The following is a 19,923-nucleotide window of genomic DNA, read 5'->3' as shown; positions in this document are numbered from 1 at the left end:
ATATATTTTGTGAGATGGGAAATACACAAAACTGTAAGAGTAGATTCAAAATGATTAGCTCCATTATTAATTTACTGAGTTTTTGTTCTCCACCTAATGGCCAAGTGGAAGTGATCACTGAAAATCTGGGGCCTCAGGAGGAGATAGAAGCTGGAGACATTGCTTAGGACGCATGAGCACTTAAAGCTGTCTTTCTTTCGCTGTGAAATACTGAGCAAGTAACTGCCTAGAATGAAATATTTTGAACCCATAGGAAATTCATTATTAAACCTCAGGTATTTAAGTCTGTTATCCAAATTAATAGACTAAAAAAAGCATTAGTAGTAAATGATATAAAACATATGAACCACTAGAAACAGTAAACATCCATTCTAGTTTCTTTAAAATAAATATCTCTACATATTCTTTCATAATTTTCTTTTCTTAATTCAACTAAATGCTGTTTTCTAAATGTTAATAGTTTTGGTTTTTGCATGAGAAAAATGTCTGTAGGCCAATTTTCAAAGAGTTGATCCTCCAGTTCTCCAAGCTGTATCACTTTTTTTTTTTTTTGAGATGGAGTTTTGCTCTTATTGCCCAGGCTAGAGTACAGTGGCACAATCTCGGCTCACTGCAATCTCTGCCTTCCGGTTTCAAGCTATTTTCCTGCCTCAGCCTCCCAAGTTACTGAGATTACAGGTGCCCGCTACCACGCCTAGCTAATTTTTTTTTGTATTTTTAGTAGAGACGGGGTTTCACCATGTTGGTCTGGCTGGTCTCGAGCTGCTGACCTAGTGATCCACCCTCCTCAGCCTCCCAAAGTGCAGGGATTACATTTTTTTACACTCTGTTTTAACAGTATTGGACATATGTAGTTTTTTGCCAAATAGAAGATCTCTTCAAAAATCACCAGTAGGCCATGTCGACCTGTCTAAGAACGCAGAGGAAGGATAATGTAATCCTGACACATGAGATTCTTGGTGGTGTTTACTAGTTAAAATAGTACAGATCCCTAAAATATGAGTACCCCAAAAGTTCAGCAAAGACTTTCTGACAAAAACAGCAATAAAAGTTCAGATATAGGCCAGGGGTGGTGGTGCACGCCCATAATCTCAGCACTTTGGGAGGCCAAGACAGGTGGATTACCTGAGGTCAGGAGTTTGAGACCAGCCTGACCAGCATGGTGAAACCCCGTCTCTACCAAATACAACAAAATTAGCCAGGCATGGTGGCACATGCTTGTAATCCCAGCTACCTGGGAGGCTGATGCAGGAGAATTGCTTGAACTTGGGAGGCGGAGAGGTTGCAGTGAGTGGAGATTGCACCATTGCACTCCAGCCTGGGCAACAAGAGCAAAACTCTGTCTCAAAAAAAAAAAAAAAAAAAGTTAAGATATAAATTGAGAGAAAAAAACAATTCACTCACCCAGCCACTGAAGAATACCCTGGAAGAGTGTGTGTGTGTTTGTCTCTGTGTATGTGTGTGTGTTCACACACATGAACAACATTAGCAACTTGGAAGACTTGAAAAAAAATCAACCAACATTTCAGAATTGTTCTCAACCACTTACCAGGAGATCAAAGTAGAACCTTCTAAAGAAGTGGAATGTTCTTTTTTCTCTTGTATTGGACATATAGGCAAACCTTAAACCCATATTTTCTGGGCTTGGCTTCTGGTAAAAATAAATAAATAAATAAATACATAAATACGTAAATAAATAAATAATTTTTTGTTTTCTGAAACTTTGGCTTGTCATGACTCATCCCTTCTTTCCCTGTTCAGAAGTCACTTTTATACTATCTAAAATAATTATAACCATTCTGCCAACAGTAATCATGGAAATATAAACTTAATGTAGATAAAACTGTACTCTTTAAAAATATATTCTCTGACTTGTCACATTTTAAAAAATTACTTTTCATTTAGGAATTAAGACTATTGGTGCTGGAAAAAAATCATGACTGGTAGCAATCTGAATATATTGTAAATTTACTCAGAGTATACTGCAAAGATTTTTTTAAAATGATGTGCCCAACAGCAATAACTAAAAGGTTAGTTGAATTTCCTGGAGTAGAAGGGAATTCTGAACAAATCCTCCTACTCTAAAAAGATTGAATATTGTGGTCTTGGTGAATTATTTAAAGACAATAAAATGTACCTTCATTAAATTTACCTAAGCATTATCCAAGAAATCACTGTTCTAAGACGGGCAATCTGAAATTTCCTCATTGACATTTAAACAATGCCTTTCCACATAACTAGAGTTGAGAAAATAATAGATTACACCATATGTTCTTATCTGGTTCATGCCCCCAAAGGCCTAGAGCATGGGCATGGTTTTTATAAATCTAAACAAATTAAATAAATGTTTGCACTTGTAACTCTGTTACCTTTTAGCAAAAAAATAAATTAGTGCCAGGGGAGCCACAAAGTTAAGAGACTCTGTAAACAAAAGAACAGAAGGCTGTCTACATCCTCACACCAAATTAACAGAACACTAGACATGCTATTACAGATTATTGACAGGTTAGAAAAATAGACAGTTAAATTACTGCAGTTTATCTAGATAGACTGCATATAAAAACATTTCTAAATTTCATTTCTTATTTTAATCATTAATGGGTAATGGGAAAATATGACAAAAACTTCAAGTTTCTCAAAAAAATTGAATACATTTTGAACAGCAAGATTAAAGAATCTTGAATATTCTTCTCTAAACGTATTTCAGCTTCTGCTTATGATAAAGATCCAAATACACATGTTTCTTCTTCCTGTATCACCTCACTATACACCAGCATGTATGTCTGAACCTCAGTCTTGTATCCCACACTCCTGGAAATCACAATTACATTCCTCCCAAGGTCCATCACTTTTAAAAAAATTTTGGCTGGGTGTGGTGGCTCATGCCTGTAATCCCAGCACTTTGGGAGGCTGAGGTAGGCAGATCATGAGGTCAGGAGATCGAGACCATCCTGGCTAACACGGTGAAACCCTGTCTCTACTAAAAAAAAAAAATACAAAACATTAGCCTGGCGTGGTGGTGGGCGCCTGTAGTCCCAGCTACTTGGGAGGCTGAGGCAGGAGAATGGCGTGAACCTGGGAGGCAGAGCTGGCAGTGAGCCGAGATCGCGCCACTGCACTCTAGCCTGGGCGACAGAGCAAGACTCCATCTCAAAAAAAAAAAATTGCTACATATAAAATTAGTCAAGTTTCTAATTCACATACTATAAGAAATCAATACAAATTAATAGGCATATAAATTTTTCTTCCTATTTACTTGTTGAATTTGTTGTCTTTTATCTACAATCAAGATTTTTCTCTGATGAATCTATGTACTAAGTAGATTTAATTCTTAGGACAGTTATCATCTCCAAATTGGGACCAATATTGTAATGACTCAATTATTTTTCTTTCTTACTTGACTTTCACACGGTCATGTGATGTGATTTATTTTGGGCCACCCAGTGCAAGTTATTTAGGGAAGTCTCATTCCCCCAAAGCCCCCTTCTCTCTCTTACTGATCATGGACCTTGAAAGACGTTTATTTCCAGCACTGGCAGCAGCATGTGCACTTATCTCTCTTAATACTCACAATTTTTACCTGAATTACTTCATAGCCCAGAGAAACCATCTCAGGAAAGAAACTAAAATTTCCATTGTAAAGATAATTAATAAATTGGGGAGGTTTCAAATGCTGTATGAATTCATTTAAATCACCCCAAAATAAAAAGTCATACTCAACAAGAAGAGGCTCAAATCCATGTCAACAGAAGCAAATCAAAGATACAGGACATTCCCAATCAGGACTTTTTAAGTTACACTAGTCATTAAAGTTTCAGCCATTCAACTTATTCAGCAAATTTCTAAAGCTGATATTATGCCACACCTGAGGGCTAGTTGATTTCACACATTATCTACAGCTCTCATTTCTCTCCTTTCACTGGCAACGTATAGTACATATCGATGTTCTTCCTGAAAGGAAGGAAAGCCTCTTTTGTCTAATCCTGAAATAGAGGCAGCTGGAGAGGAGGAAGTAAGAACAAGAAACCATACTCTCTTATCTCTTCATAAGTTCATAAAGTGTTTTTTCTTTCTCTCTTTTTCTCTCTTCCCCCTTCCTGACCTCCCCCTCTTTTTTGTTTTTAAAGAATCACAATCTTCAGGCCAGAAGTTTATATGTAAGAATTAGAACTCAGTCTTTTCAGAACTCCCCAGTGGACTGGTACCAGTATCTGTGCCCTCCCCTTTCTTCTACCAGAACTTCCCTACAGTTGTACCACAGTGCACCTGTGCTGGAAATGGCTTACAGGTGTAATTAGATTTTTTAATTTTTAAAATTTTAAATTATTATAGATACATAATAGTTGTATGTATTTATGGGGTACACATAATATTTTGATATAAGCATACAATGTGCAAGTGTAATAAGGTTTTGATCCTCTCATTCTTTGGAGTGGCTGGCTATGGCCTGTTGTTGAATGCTCTTCGCCTGCTGCCTTTGCAAATATTTTAAATTTTTAGGAATGCCATGGCTTATAAAAAGTTTGGAACTACACATACCCAATTTTCTCCATCTTTCTGGGCCAGTAGAATCTTTATCTAGTATAGAGAGGAAAGGGGATTAAGAAACAAACTGACACTGACTGATCTCATGTTCTTCAAAATCACCTTTTAATGACATAAACTTCAGTCTGTGTCTTCCAGGACTTAATTCTAAAGATGGAAATAACTTTTTTTTCCTGCCTTTATGAGGTGATGATTTTCACTGACTGAGAGGGAAAGGCTTTGAAGACTTCAAAGGAACTGCCAGGAACCAAATACAATTTGATTAGTACATGATGATAATATCTTCTATCTTTATGCAGTGTCTTCATCAAGAATCAATAATGATTGCAAGCGATTTTCAAACCAGCTTCAGAAAAAAAATGCAGGGAGGGGAAATGGATTTATGCAACAGAGACATTGCCAATGGCAAATGGTATAATGAGCCTTTTGTGGGGCTAGAACCAAGGTTACCCTCTCTGTCTCTCTTGTAACACTTGATCTTCTTTCTAGATTTTAGGTTTCTTCTTCCTTCAGTCTTCTCTTGTGCACAAGATATTTTCCTAGTTAATTTGCTCTTACATACTTGGAGGAGACAATGTTATACCTCATCTATCTAGAAACCTCCAACACCTTCTCATACCTTACTGTCAACTGATAAACTTACCTCATCTTTCACTAAAAAATAAAAGCAATTAGAAAAGCATATGTTCCTCTACCATCATACTGACCAACTGTCCTCCAACTGTCCTGTGTCTGTCCGCATATATACTGACTCCATTCTTGTTAGTGTGGATAAATTGTTCCCTGTCTATAGTCAACCCCTTCATCTCAAGGATATCCTCTCAAGGATATCAGTCTAACAATTATCCCCTCTCTCGTGTCATCATTTTCCTATACTCTTCAAAATTATTCCCATAGTTGTACATATATTCAAGTTATAATGTTTTAAAATATTCCATCTTAAAAATTCTTTAGACCCACAATCCCCTTATGGCTTGTAACCTCTCTCCATCTCCTTTCAAAAAAACTCTTTGTACCAGTTGTCTATATACCCATTGTCTTTACTTCCTTTCTTCTTCTTCACTCTTGAACTCACCTCAAACATCCTTTTGTCTCTGCTAATCCAGTAAAACTGCCTTGATAAATCACTCTGCTGAACTCTAGACACATATCCTGGTATCTACTTAATATATTCATTTCCATGTCTAATAGGCATCCTAAATTTAGCACGCCCAAAACCAAACTCTTGATTCTGTTGCCCACTTCAACCTCCTACTAACTTGTTTTACCCCAAGTGTTCTCATTACCATAAATGACATCATATTCACTTAGCAGATTCACCCAGTAAATCTCTTTAGCTAACACTTCACATCTAAACTATCAGTAAATCCTCTCAGCTCTACTTTCACATATATCTCGAATCTAGGCATTAGCACATCCACCACTGTATTATTCCATACTCATACTGCTATAAAGACATACCTGGAACTGGGTAATTTATGAAGTAAAGAGGTTTAATTGTCTCACAATTCTGTGGACTGTACAGACTTCTGCATCTAGGCAGCCTCAGGAAACTTACAATCATGGCAGAAGGCAAAAGAAAAGCAGGGACCGTCTTCACATGTCAGAAAAGGACAGAGAGAGTGAGAGCAAAGAGGGAGGTGCTACACAGTTTTAAACAACCAGATCTAGTGATAATTCACTCAATATAACAATGAAAGCAAAAGGGAGGTCCACCCCATGATCTAATCTCCTACCACCAGGCCCCCCTTCAACAATGAGGATTACAATTTGACATGAGATTTGTGTGGGGGCACAGAGCCAAAACCATATTAATCTGTGCCTGGCCCTTCTCAGATCTCATGTCCTTTTCACGCTTCAAAACACAATCACGGCTTCCCAACAATCCCCCAAAGTCTTTACTTATTCCAATATTAACTCAACAGTCCAAGTCCAAAGTCTCATCTAAGACAAGGCAAGTCCCTTCTGCCTATGAATCTGTAAAATTAAAAAAAAGTTAATTAATTCTAAGATACAATTAAGGGTACAGTCACTGAGTAAATGCCCCCATTACAAAAAAGAAAAATTGGCCAAAACCAAGGGGCCACAGACTCCATGCAAGACTGAAACCCAGCAGGGCAGTCATTAAGTCTTAAGGCTCTGAAATAATCTCCTTTGACTCCATGCCTCACATCCAGGCCACACTGATGCAAAGGGGTGGGCTCCAAAGGACTTGGGCAACTCCACCCCTGTGGCTTATAAATGGAAACAGAAACAAATTAAGGTGCTAACGATGGTGAAGAATAAGATAATGGCTTAGATTTAGACGATAGTGGTTGATATGGTTTGGCTCTGTGTCCCCACCCAAATCTCTTGTCAAATTATAATCTCCAGTGTTGAAAAAAGGGCCTGGTGGGAGGAAATTGGATCATGGGGCAGACTTCCCCCATGTTCTACAAGCTGTACAGGCTTCTGCTTCTGGGAAGGCCCCAGGAAACTTAAACTCTTGGCAGAAGGAGAAGCTGAAGCAGGCACCATCTTCATATGGTAGAACACAAGAGAGAGAGAGCAAAGGGGGAGGTGCCACACACTTTTAAACAACTTGATCTCACGAGAACTCACTCACTATCATGAAACAGCAAGGGGGACGTCTGCCCCATGATCCAATTTCCTCCCACCAGGCCCCCTTTTCAACACTGGAGATTATAATTTGACATGAGATTTGGGTGGGGACACAGAGCCAAACCATATCAACCACTACCATCTAAATCTAAGCGATTATCTTATTCTTCACCAGCATTAGCACCTTAATTTGTTTCTGTTTCCATTTATTTAACAACCAGAACCACCTTTTCACAACATAAGTCACACCTCTTTTTAAAACCTTCAAATATTTAATCATGCTCTTAGAATAATTTCTGAAGTCCTTATTTTGGTACTCCAATCCCACTCCTAAATATGCCTCTAGTCTCATCTCCTATTATAGTCTGTCTCACTCACTTCACTCCACCAAGTCTTTGTGCTTTCAAGTGTTTGTGCTTGATGTTTTTCTGCCTAGATCATTATCCTTCCAACTCTCCATATGATTTGCTCCTCATTTCATTCAAGTCTCTGATCAAATGTTACCAGCTCAAGAGTCAGTCCCCAACTGCCCTACTGAAATATCTATCATTTTACCCTGCTTTATTTTTCTTCATAACACTAATTTCTTCTTAACATGATTTATGAAATTATTTTTTATAATCTATACATTCTTATAAATACAAGCATAAAGGCACGTTTTATTGACTGCAGTATTCTTATCACCTGAGAGATTATAAGTGATTAATCGTCACTTGACCATAAAAAATTCACAGAAAACAGCCAGTCTAATAGTCACCCAGTTCAAGTGCTGAACACAGCCTCATGAAGCCTCCATGTCCCAATTGCATATTTTCCAGACAGGGAAGTAATTGGCCATATTTATCCCTGGCTCTCTCAGGTATGCATTCCATCAGTCATCGTGGAAAGGGTTGAAATACAGGTTCTGCCATATACTCACTCAGCTAAGGCTAAACGAGCATAATTTCAGAAAAAGGGATGTGAGTAGGCAAGAAAAATAAATAGCTTGTCTTTGCTTTCATTTGTTCAACAACTGTTTATTGAAAACTGACAGTGTGCCAAGAACTCTGAAAAGTGGGATACTACAGGAACCTGGCAAACAAGAACCCTTCTCTTATAAATCTGTCATTTAGTGAAAGGAGCTTCAAATATATATGGCATTCTAACCTATGATCCATGGATAAAAGAATCAAGGCAGAGAAAATAAAACTGAGTTATTTTGTCATGCTGTATGCTGCACATATTCAAATGTATTAATTATAATAGGAATACTTAAAGAATTCCTCATACATACCACTTTTTCATAAGGTAAAGATTGAATAATTTTCACCCTGGCCTTGATTATAATTTCACATATGCATTTATATTGAGAATTTTTGTTTCATATATGCTATATACTCATAATTTATAAATTTGAATATTAATTTCAAAGAGAATACAGCTCTTCCAATGTGTAGTATATATGCATTTGATTTCTTCTGATAACCACTACATTAACTCCTTTATATCAATTCACCGTTTGATCTTCAGCATGTTGCCCAGCCTCTCCCAACCTCATTTTCTTTATCTATAAAGCAAACATGTTGGACTACATGTTCAGCAAGACTTTTTATGAGTTTTATAGATTTTCAATTCAATAAGAAAATTGATTGAGACAGGTCATTCTATTCCATGGAATGTGCAAATATGGTCTACTATTCTTATTTTATGAGAATGTCCCATTGACTCCAAATGATCTGAATGGTTAAGACTGTGCTATTTAGAGAGCAATAATTGAACACAGCAAGATGGATAACCACAGGGAAGGTGTTTTCTAGACAGTTCAAACTTAACCAACTAAAATCTGAGGCATTCTAGAAATTAAAGGTATCAAATCCTGTTAATCTGCATGCATAAACTCATGTTCCATGGGATAAATTCTCCTCTCAGATGTGGTGTTTTTATTTTGTTTGGGGCAACTCAGTTTGTTGACCTTAGATTCTAATGCATTAGCACTTTCTAGTTTACTGTCACCCACTACTCCCCATTATTTGATACCAGGGGTTCTCAAACTTAAGCATGAGTCAGAATCACCAGTGGGGATTGTTAAAACATATTACTGGGCCCCTCCCCAAGTGTTTGATCTGCTGGGTATTCAGTGGGGCCTGAGAATGTGCATTTTTATAAGTTCCCAGGTGATTGATGTTGATGCTGCTGGTCCCAGGACTACATTTTGAGAACCATTGTCCTACACAACTTCTGCATTTACATTATTTGTCAAACCCCTAAACATATCTAAATTTATGACCCATTGTGGGGTGTATGCCAAAATAATTTGCTATAATCCTAAAACATGGTTAACCTTTAATGAGAAGACAATGAAAATGAACTGAACTGAGCTTGGCAATCCATACCTGGCCTGGTTATGATTAATACACATGGTGTTTTTAAGACTGGCTGACCAGATTTTATGTGACTGTCATGTTAGAACCACATGACCAGACCATATACCCAGAGTCCAGTATGAGGTTTCCCCTGAAGGGAATAGATATTCCCAGAGTCAAATACCTTGGAAAAAATCAGATTGATGTACTCGAGAAGCATGCTTTAGGCAGGACTAAGTAGAAAGTCTTTTTCTATTCAGGAGCAGGAGTTTGATTTGGCCAGGATTCTTGGGCAAGGAGGTAACCAACATTTTCTATGTGATAAAGAGAAAACCTCCTAACCCTAGCTAGAAGAGGGAGCAGAACTTACAAGGGAATCTGAGGAAAACATTCTATACATTGTTCTTCCTTTCAATTACATCCCAACCTTTATCACTGATTCCTTAGGAATGACTGCCTGGTTTCAGTTAAAATCCAGGGAAGAATGGTAGAGTTTGGATCCAATATTGGGATACAAGCTTGTGGGAGTCCCTGTGAAAGACTGCTAGGTTCAGGGAGACAGCCATCTATTAGGAAATAAATAGCAGGGCCAAGAAAGCATGAACACATGAGCAGCCCAGAGAGGAAGGCTATGAGGGACCTGTTTCCAAGCCAAAAACAGTAATGGTACAAGAAATAGTGAGGAATCTTTTTGGTGTAGTAGATGATAATTTGTGTCACCATGTTTTAGGTTACGTAAGGCTTATGTTATGGGAAATCAAAAATATTCTTATCATTAATCTGATTATGATGTCAGATTTTGTCTTTTTTCTATGCATCATTATATTGCACTTGATAAGTACAGAAACATAAATTTGTGTATACATACCTGTATATATTTTATAAAGTATTTATACTATATATGATAATATAATACTTCATATATGTAAAAATATATTTATGTATATGTATGTATATGTAGCCTATATCATTTTATTCTTTCAACTCCCCTAAGAGGTAATACCTCCATTTTATAGATAAAGATTTAAAATATTTAAAATAATTACATAATTTTATCAATGTCCTAGGATTAGAACTGAGGCAGCCTTGAACTTCATGCTATTATCTATAAAGTGATTTTACCTTTTGGTAAGACATAAAACATTAATTAGGGTAAAAATAATTATGGTTATCACTTTTATCTTCAGACCCAGAAGATAAAAGTTATGTTGTATGTAGTATATAGTATCTGGTAGTGATGTTGTATGTAGTATCAATAACCTGCCATGTTATTTCCTGGGGAGAAGGAATATATATAATTATAGTGAGAAATAACATGGCAGGTTATTGATACTACATATAGTATCACTACCAGAAAATATAGTGATAGATAGATAGATAGATACACACACACACACACACACACACACACACACACACACACATCCCAGATGGAAACATCTGCCTGTCCACTAGAGTATTTCCACAGTGGAAAAGCATTTGCGTTTTTTTTTTCTTTCTTTTCCTTATCTTTCTTATCTTGCCTAAAGAATTACTACTGATTATCTTTTTCCAGAAACTACCTGCTTTTCAAGATTAAAATGCATTGCTTTCTGACTTGGACTCTGGACTGTCTCACCTGTAACTGTGATAGAGAGCATTCCAGGTCTGGCATGAGGAAATAATCACTATCAAGTTCTACCATTTATTTGGAGCATAATACTCCAAAAAAGAAAAAAAGCATTTGACAGATAAAGAAAACTAGTTTGTCAGAAAATTAACTACTGTGGCCATAAGACTTTTCTAGCCTTTTTTCTTTATTTTTTATGTTATCTATATAAAAACTTGTTTATGCAGAGAAATTGATGTGTGAAAATGTCAAAGCAATATTAAGTATCCAAAAATATTTATGCTAATCATCATATTATCAATAATATCTAAATTCCATATAGGTTAAATAGATCTTTGCTTCAGAAATTTAAAAATCTTTTAGAGTACACCATCTAATTGATTTATTGCCAAATCATTAGAAATAATCAGCATCACATTATAAGTGCTTAAATTGTTAAAGATCTTTACCTAAAGAAGCGACGAAATTGCACATTTTATTTATCATAGTTACTTCTCGAATAACTTGGCTTATTCTGTTTGTTGTTTGTTTTGTTTTGCATTGCTTTTTTCATCTTGCCCCTCAGTCTTATGGCATAGATTCATTGACCAAGCTGGTGAGTTGGTGCCATGTGTGGGAAAATGGTGGGATGTAAAGGGAAAGAATGCCACCATAACCTCTGGCTCCAGCTCTCAGAGAGCTTGAAGCAGAAGTGATTTGTACACATGCACTCCTCAAAGGGATTTTGCCCTTTCTGATGCCTCTACCTAGAGTATTTTCATTCCCCCATCCCCCTCCTTTGCCTAGTGAACATCTACATATTCTTCTCTTAGTTCAGTCATCATGCCCCTAATTAGGTCAAATTTCCAATTATATCCTGTCATAGCACAACTAAGTTCTTTGTTATTGCACTTAACCCAGTTATAAATTACATGTTTATTCTTATATTATTTGATTAATGCCTCCATCACTCCAGAAAGTGAGCTACCAAAGGGCAGGAATAGTGTGGCTTTGTTCCTCGATGCATTCTCAATAGTAGCACTAGGCCCGATATACAAGAGGTGCTTAATTCCTAAATTCATGTGTGTGTGTGTATCTATTAAATGAATGAATATATGAAAAGATCTTTCCTCTTGGTCTGACACTATTTGGACTTTGAAAAATAGAATCATTAATGATTATATAAATGGTATAATAATTGTCCATTTATTCCCTGTAAAAATGTGAAATATAATCTACAATAGGCAACTGAGTCTTATAGATAAAGAGTCTTATAGATAAAGGTAGCTCATTAGATTACATTTTAATTGAACGATGGGTGATAGAATGTGTCGGTGCCCATGGGAGGATATTAAAAAGTGGCATGAGCTAGCTGAGAGCTCAAGGAGGGCAGCAGGGACAGTGGAGGGCAAAGCTGCCCATCTGGTTGTGGTAGAGAAAATGCTGAAATAACGGAGAGTGTTGCTTGCCATAGAAACTTGTTTAAGCCCAAGTATACTAGATGCATACTAGTCTCATGAATTTTTTCTTCTTGTTAGCAGGATATTGAATATGAAAGACTAATATTATAGCTTTAAAAGGAAAATGAGTGTAATGGGACTTCTGACCTTCATTATATAATTTTTAGCAATTTATATCATTTGATTACAGTTTGATGAAAGTTTTAATTCCATTTAATAGCCTCTATTCACCCATATGGAGTCCAAACTGGAAGTTCACAATTTTCCTCTTCAATGAATAATGGAATAGTTTGGTCTTAAGAAGTTTTGGAAGGGTTGCTGGATCTTACCTTGTGCCTGCGTAAGAATAAACATTGTATTATTTTGATTAGTTTTCTAATACTGTACACATAAACACTTACTTGAATACTTGAATATCATGGTACAATACCATTAATGGGTCATATATCTAGAGAACTACGGTCATTTATAGTACAGTATAAAGACATTTGTATTTTAAACTTTTTACTGTGAAAATTTATTTAAATGCCCGTGGTTATTTCCCTATTTAATATGAGTTTCAATTATAAGTGTTCAAAAATGTTACAAAAACATTAGACTATATGCTTTGAGATAATAAAATTTAAAATATTTTATTTTCTTTTGCATTTTAATAGCTGAGAATAATAAAAACAAGAAAACTTACCCAGAATTTTATGTGTTTAGCATAATTGTATGTCTGATCACTTTAATATGGTAAGTTAATCATGGATGGTGAGATGTTACCAGAATTAATAAAGCTTCCTTATGTAACAAATTAGGATTTTTACTTACGTGTTGATAGTAATGTACAATTACACCTTGGTTTAACCTAGTTAAGAATTCAGTTATGTTAATTTGACTCTCCTATTTCTAAAAAATAATTGTTCGAATGAGTAATTTAAACCAAATTTCTAAAGAAATATAGACTTGCCTCTCAAATCTATTCAAAAATACTTTAATATCAAGGATTTATCAGAAGTTGTGGCTTCAGTGGCTTTGCATATCTAATAGTTATCTTGCTATTTTCTTAACTGTCTCCTGAAAAGTTAGTAAAGCTGAACAGCATCCTTGGCAGCCATGCTTTTTCTTGCTGCCTGCAATTCTCACAATCTTAGTTCCAGATTCCTCTTATAAGCCACTAACCTTGTTTCAAGCTTAATACATCTTTAGATGTAACTACAATTGATACAGAAAGGAGGCAGGGAAATACTAGGCTGAACAGGGTGGGGTCCCTGGCAAGGGCTCCACTGTCAAGCCTGGACCCGTGGCCATAAATGAGAACATGCACTCCTGTTTTCCTGCCTAAATGTTGCCTTTTCCAAAACCATCCTGGTTCACAACACCCCTCAACGTGTACTCATAAACACCCCAAACTCCACTGGCAGAGGAACAGAGCAGCACAGCAGAGAAGAAGAGAAGAGAAGGGAAGTGTCTGAATGGCAAGAGGAGAAGAGACAGCTGGACATTGGAGACTAGGGATGGCCAAACTCCAGGGGCAGGTTATCTTCCCTCTCCATCCCCTTTCCAGCTCCCCACCCCACTAAGAACCATTTCCATCACTCAATACAATCCTACACTTATGCCACCCTTCAATGCATTCGTGTGACCTGATTCTTCCTAGATGCTGGACAAGAATTTGGGATGCACTGGGTGCAAGAACCCAAAAAGGCTATCACATTGACTAGTCACTGAGCAGTTTAAACTTAAGCAATCAGCAGACAGCAAAGCTAAAACAGCATTGTTTGTAACACACACCCTCTGGGACTCCAGAGGTCATGGACTACCCCAATACACTGCCACGGGTTGCTACAGGGTTTTTTCCTGCCAGCACCCAAAGGCACTTGTCCCAGCTCCTGCACCCACTCACTTGTGTGCTCCCCCTCCTGCAAGGGGTTTGAGTGAGGCTGCCAAGTAAGCAAGCCACCCCAGTCACAAGTCCCGTGAGGGGGTCAAGGGAATTTTCCTGTCTCACAATCATAACCTGATAAAATTACCTTGCTGTTGTTCCTTTGTTTGGAGTGGCACTGAGAACGACTAGAATTATCCTGGAAACTTTCCCCATGTGAATATTCTAACTGAATAAACAGAGTTAATTAATAACTTGTCTATAAATTCATAAATATCAAACTTTTCTGTTCAGTTTTATGATTTTAAGTTTATGAATACACTTTTGTAAACATTCACATATTACCAACTGGATAAACTTACTCTGATAAGGTAATCCTCCAAAACCTCTGAACTCATCCAGTTTCAAGCCAGTCTTAGTGTTAAGACTGAGAAGAAATCTGAGAGTAAGAAAATTGATTTTTCAGATATTGATGGGAGACTTGGGAGGCTAGCTAAGAAGCCCTCTGCAGCATTATTATGACTTCTGCAGCTATTCTCTATCCCTGACATCTTTGTGTTTTCTGGGAATAATTTCCATCTTAATGATATTACTTAAATGCCATATGCTAATATTACTACTTAAATGTATTGTGTTAATAATTAAATGGTAGTACTGTCATTCAAATAATTAGTAGCAACACATAGGTACGTTTTAAAAGAAAACAATTCTTCATCAAAATCAATAGATAAGCACAAGCAAAGAAAAAAATGGTATTCATTAGGAAGACAACATAAAACAATCAATAATTTAAAACACAAAACATATAGGTTTTCTTTTGGTTGCAAATGTAAACCTTGAAGAATATTTTCAAATATAGAAAAACACCAAGAAGAAAATTAATATTTTGGATAATCTCGCTCACAATGATAATCACTAAGAACATTTTTGTATATAGACTTTCAGGATTCTTCATGTATATACATATATATTTAAATTCTCACAAAAATACAGTTGTTTAATCTGCTCTTTTATGTTCATAACAAAGCTTTATGATTATTTCCCCCTCTAAAGTTAAATATCCTATAATATAAATTTTAATGCTTGTCCACTGCATTAGGTGTACCAACATTCACTTAACCAATTCCATACTGTTGTATATTTAAGCTATTTCCCAAAATCTTAATTAAATTAAATTTCTCAAAAATTTATTTAGTTCATAATTCTGTGATAAATGTCTTATTTGTACATATTTGTAAACATCTTCAATTATTTTCATAGGATAAATCATTAGAAGTAGAGTTTGGGGTCAAAGTTCATGGATATTTTTAAGCTTTAAATATATACCACCTTGCCAGGCACGGTGGCTGACTCCTGTAATCCCAGCATTTTGGGAGGCCGAGGCAGGCAGATCATGAGGTCAGGAGTTCGAGACCAGTCTGGCCAGCATGGTGAAACCCTGTCTCCACTAAAAATATAAAAATTAGCCGGGCATGGTGGTGGGCACCTGTAGTCCCAGCAACTCAGGATGCTGAGGCAGGAGAATTGCTTGAACCCGGGAGGCGGAGGTTGCAGTGAGCCAAGATCACGCCACTGCACTCCAGTCTGGGTGACAGAGCAAGACTCTGTCTCAAAAAAATAAAAATAAATAAATAAATGAATGAATAAGTAAATAAATAAATAAATATCACCAAACCAAATTTTGACATTTTGTACTAAAATCACCAACAGTATAAAAGACAGTACTAAAGTTGAGCTTCACAAAACCTCAAATGGATAATCAAGAATTCTCTTTGAAAATTACAGATAATACACACATCCATCTGTTCTTAACATTGACTACTTATATTTGCCTGTTCCCTCCATTATGGTATGGCAAGTGACAATCATTACCTTGTATACCTAATTAGAATTATATGTCAAGTCATTCTTTCCTTTCCTAGCTCTACTTCCCTCGTCCTGTCCTATTGTCACCGAAAGTTGATTGTACTGGAAAAGGGATTTTTCCATCAGACATACCTCTACAAGATACCTAATAATCTGAGGGACAATTCTAGAAAAATGAGGGTAACCAGTAATAAGAGTACTTAAAGCCATGTTAAAATAGGAAAATTGGGGATATTTTTCTTGACATTTTAATTAGTGTCACCGTTGGTGAGGCAGTAAAGACAAGAAAAGACAAGAGCCACTAAAGACAAGAAAATCTTATAGAACATTATTGCATCACCATAAAGGAAAGATCATGAAAATCAGAACCAAGACAGGGGCAGGGACAATGGGAAAAAAAAAAAGAGGAAAAATTAAAGAGAATGTATGTATACATTTACAACCAAATACTAAGAAAATGGCACCAGGAGGGGGAGAGGCAATGGAAATCAAACAAAAAGAGAAACCAAGGATGATTTGAAGGGTATTTAGATTAACAGTTACCCTGTCCATTTATATATTGTGCATACGCATCCAAGCCAATTATATTTATTCTGTGTGAAGGTGATTTCATGTGCTCAGAAACTCTCCAAAAATGCCTCCATGACTCAGGTGATATTACACATCACAACATTAAATAAAATGAGGAAAATACTGAGAACCTGTTAAAATTTCAAGGATAATAATCATTTCAGTCTTCTAAATTAAAATATAGGCTATGGTGCCTTATTTTAAATAGACAACATTTATTATTGTGTGCCTTTAAATGAATCCTGTTTTACTTCTGACATTTTAGCAAGAAGCTGGATGGAAATTTAGCTAATTGGTTCATTCTGTCATGGGAGCAGGGCTACCAATTAGAATACAGGCACTGAAGGCAGAAGGTAGGAAAGAGCCCTCCAAGGTATTTTCCAGCTTACCTTGTGTGGTAATTAGACATAAAATAATTATGTCTCAAAATTATTGCTTCTGACATGAACTAATTTATTTGTATTTAATACAAAGTAAAAATTACCTAACTAGGCAGTGTTTGCTTCTTTCTTTCTTTCGGCTGACAGATGCAAGAGCCAATAAATAAAATTAATAAAGAAGGGTATTTGCAGAGCAATTTCTTTTTCTTTTCTTTTTTTTTTCTTTCTTTTTTTTTTTGAGATGGAGTCTCGCTCTGTTGCCCAGGCTGGAGGGCAGTGGGGCGATCTCGGCTCACCGCAAGCTCCTTTGCAGAGCGATTTCTATAGTCTAACTATCGTGGCTTCAAATCTTGATTCTGCTGCTTATTAGCCATCTGACCATGAATACACAATTTATTTCTCTAAGACTCACTATCCTCTAAAATAGAGGCAATAACAATATCTACTCTGAAAAGCCACTGTGAAATTTAAATAAGAAAAGGCATGTGAAACACCAACATATCTAACACACATTATATAGTCAATAATGATTAGCCATTATTATTATTATTTATATAAAAAGCAATTCCCTCTAATAATTCTGGAGCTAAAAGTCTTGAGAACTCTAAAGTAACAGATGTAAAAAATTTCAAAAAACTGATTTGCATCTTTAATGGTTAATTTCAGGTGTCAGATTGACTAGATAAAGACATACTGAGATAGCTGTAAAATCATTATTTCTCGGAATGTCTCTGAAGATGTTTCCGGAAGAGATTCATTTTTAAATCAGTGGACTGAGTAAGGAAGATCCACCCTCACCCAACATGAGCAAGCACCATCCATTCCACTTGGCTGAGGGCTGGAATAGAACAAAAAGGGCAAAGAAAAAGCAAATTCTCTCTCTTCTCTCTGTCTCCTCTCTCTCTGTCTCTTCTCTCTCTCTCTTCTCTCTCTCTCTCTCTCCTCTCTCTCTCTCTCTCTCTCCTCTCTCTCTCTCTCTCTCTCTCTCTCTCTCTCTCTCGTTCTCTCTCCTGGAGCTGGGACACTCTTTTTTTCCTGCCTTTGGACCTCAGAACTCCAGGTTCTCCATCCGTTGAACTCTGGAACTGGCACCAATGGTCTCCCAGGTTCTCAGGCCTTCAGCTTCAGCCTGAGAGCTACACCTTTTGCTTTCCTGATTTTGAGGCTTCTGAACTTGGACTTGCCCAAGCCACCATCTTCCCTAGATCTCCAGTTTATTTATTATGGGACTTCTCAGCCTCCATAATCACCTAAGTAAATTCCCCTAATAAATCCCCTCTCCTACATCTCTATCTCTACCTGTCTATCTGTAAAATGAGGTGGCTAAGAAAAAGGGACTTCTTCAAAGAAATGTTCTATTAAACAGGGTTCTCCAGAGAGACAGAACCAATAATATATAAGATATAAACAATATATAAGGTCACAATATATATTATTAGTTCTGTCTCTCTGAAGAACCCTAATAAAACATCTTCTTCAAGAAGTCCCACCTCATCTTCTTATATTTATGGAAGTTTAATTGTAAAAATAGCCCCAATTCTCTACCTTTTTCTCTGTCCACATCTTTCGTCCTGTGACTTTTCAGCTTCTTCCTTCATGAGGTAGAGAATTTGGCCATCCAAACCTCAGCCTCAATAACCTTGCCCACTTCCTCATACTCTTTCTTGGAAGAGAACCAGTCCAGGATGGATTAGCTGAAGGTTGAGAGAACATGCGAATCAGAGACAAGATGACCCAAATGAAATAGTCCTAAAGAATCCTGTTCCCAGCAATAGAAATGCGTTCTGCCAAGACTAGGTCACCAAATCAAGGACTGGTAAGCAAAAACATCTATTGCTGTATGTCACTGAATGTTTTAGTTGTTTGTTAGACAGCATTATCCTGACAATAGATAATTGGCCATTCTCTACGTAATATAAGAAACTGAGCACATCTTTAATGAAAGGACTGAGGATGAAGACTTGAAAAACATCAAAAGAAAAAAAAATAAAACAACAAGTTACCATTTGAGCACTTACTAAGTACCAAATAGTAAGCTAAATAATGTAGATACAATACCCCCCCACACACATATGTAATCCCATTTAATTTTTTAAAAAAATCTTTAGAGAAACTGATCAGAAGAAAACAAAGCTGAGGGAATTTAAGTAACATCTAACTTATCACTGTGATTTGTGCTCAGTTTTATCTGACTCCAAAGTTTTGTTTCAACTCCTCAGAGTTACTGTCTTTCAATACAGATTTATTCATAACTTGAAAAGCCTCTGCATTTCTTAACTATAACTTGATTAACAGATAGTTTGGTCAATGACTTAGATATAGTTTCTAGAGTAATCATGAATTATTACCCCAAACTGGTTTTGGCTTCATCTGTTAGAAACTAGGAATCAAAACTAGTCTAGATAAAATAAATAAGACACTTTCTAATAATAATATATCCATTTAGAAATAATTAACAAACTAGTAAATTCTAAAGAAATTTCAAATCACATATACAATCTGAGGACAATTGAGAACTAACTTATTTAATTAGTAATACTAGAAGGAATGGGTCGAATTAAGGGAAGGGATATTTCATTGTTCTGTTTTCAGAGTCTTTAGAGAGCAAATTCTCTTTTCTAAAAGCCTAGTGTAATATAATTTTGTAGAAATTATTCGATGAGATAAAAAATAATGTAAACAGTTGTCAAAAAAACGAATGTAC

The 19,923-nt window shown here is 36.3% G+C and overlaps 1 long non-coding RNA gene across 2 annotated transcripts in view; it reads right to left on the bottom strand.

Moving 5' to 3' along the window:
* Nucleotides 1-19,923, bottom strand: part of POT1-AS1 (POT1 antisense RNA 1) — a 215,362-nt gene that overhangs the window by 62,872 nt on the left and 132,567 nt on the right. Inside the window, exon 4 of one of the 2 annotated variants that reach the window (NR_125719.1) lies at nt 1,550-1,651. The exons of the other annotated variant lie outside the window; for it this stretch is intronic. This is a non-coding gene — a long non-coding RNA (POT1 antisense RNA 1). The remainder of the gene's footprint in view (nt 1-1,549; nt 1,652-19,923) is intronic. 2 annotated transcript variants of the gene reach the window in all.

This window comes from Homo sapiens, chromosome 7, assembly GCF_000001405.40.
Source record: "Homo sapiens chromosome 7, GRCh38.p14 Primary Assembly".
Taxonomy (NCBI): Eukaryota; Metazoa; Chordata; class Mammalia; order Primates; family Hominidae; genus Homo; species Homo sapiens.
This window is presented reverse-complemented; position numbering and strand designations above follow the sequence as displayed.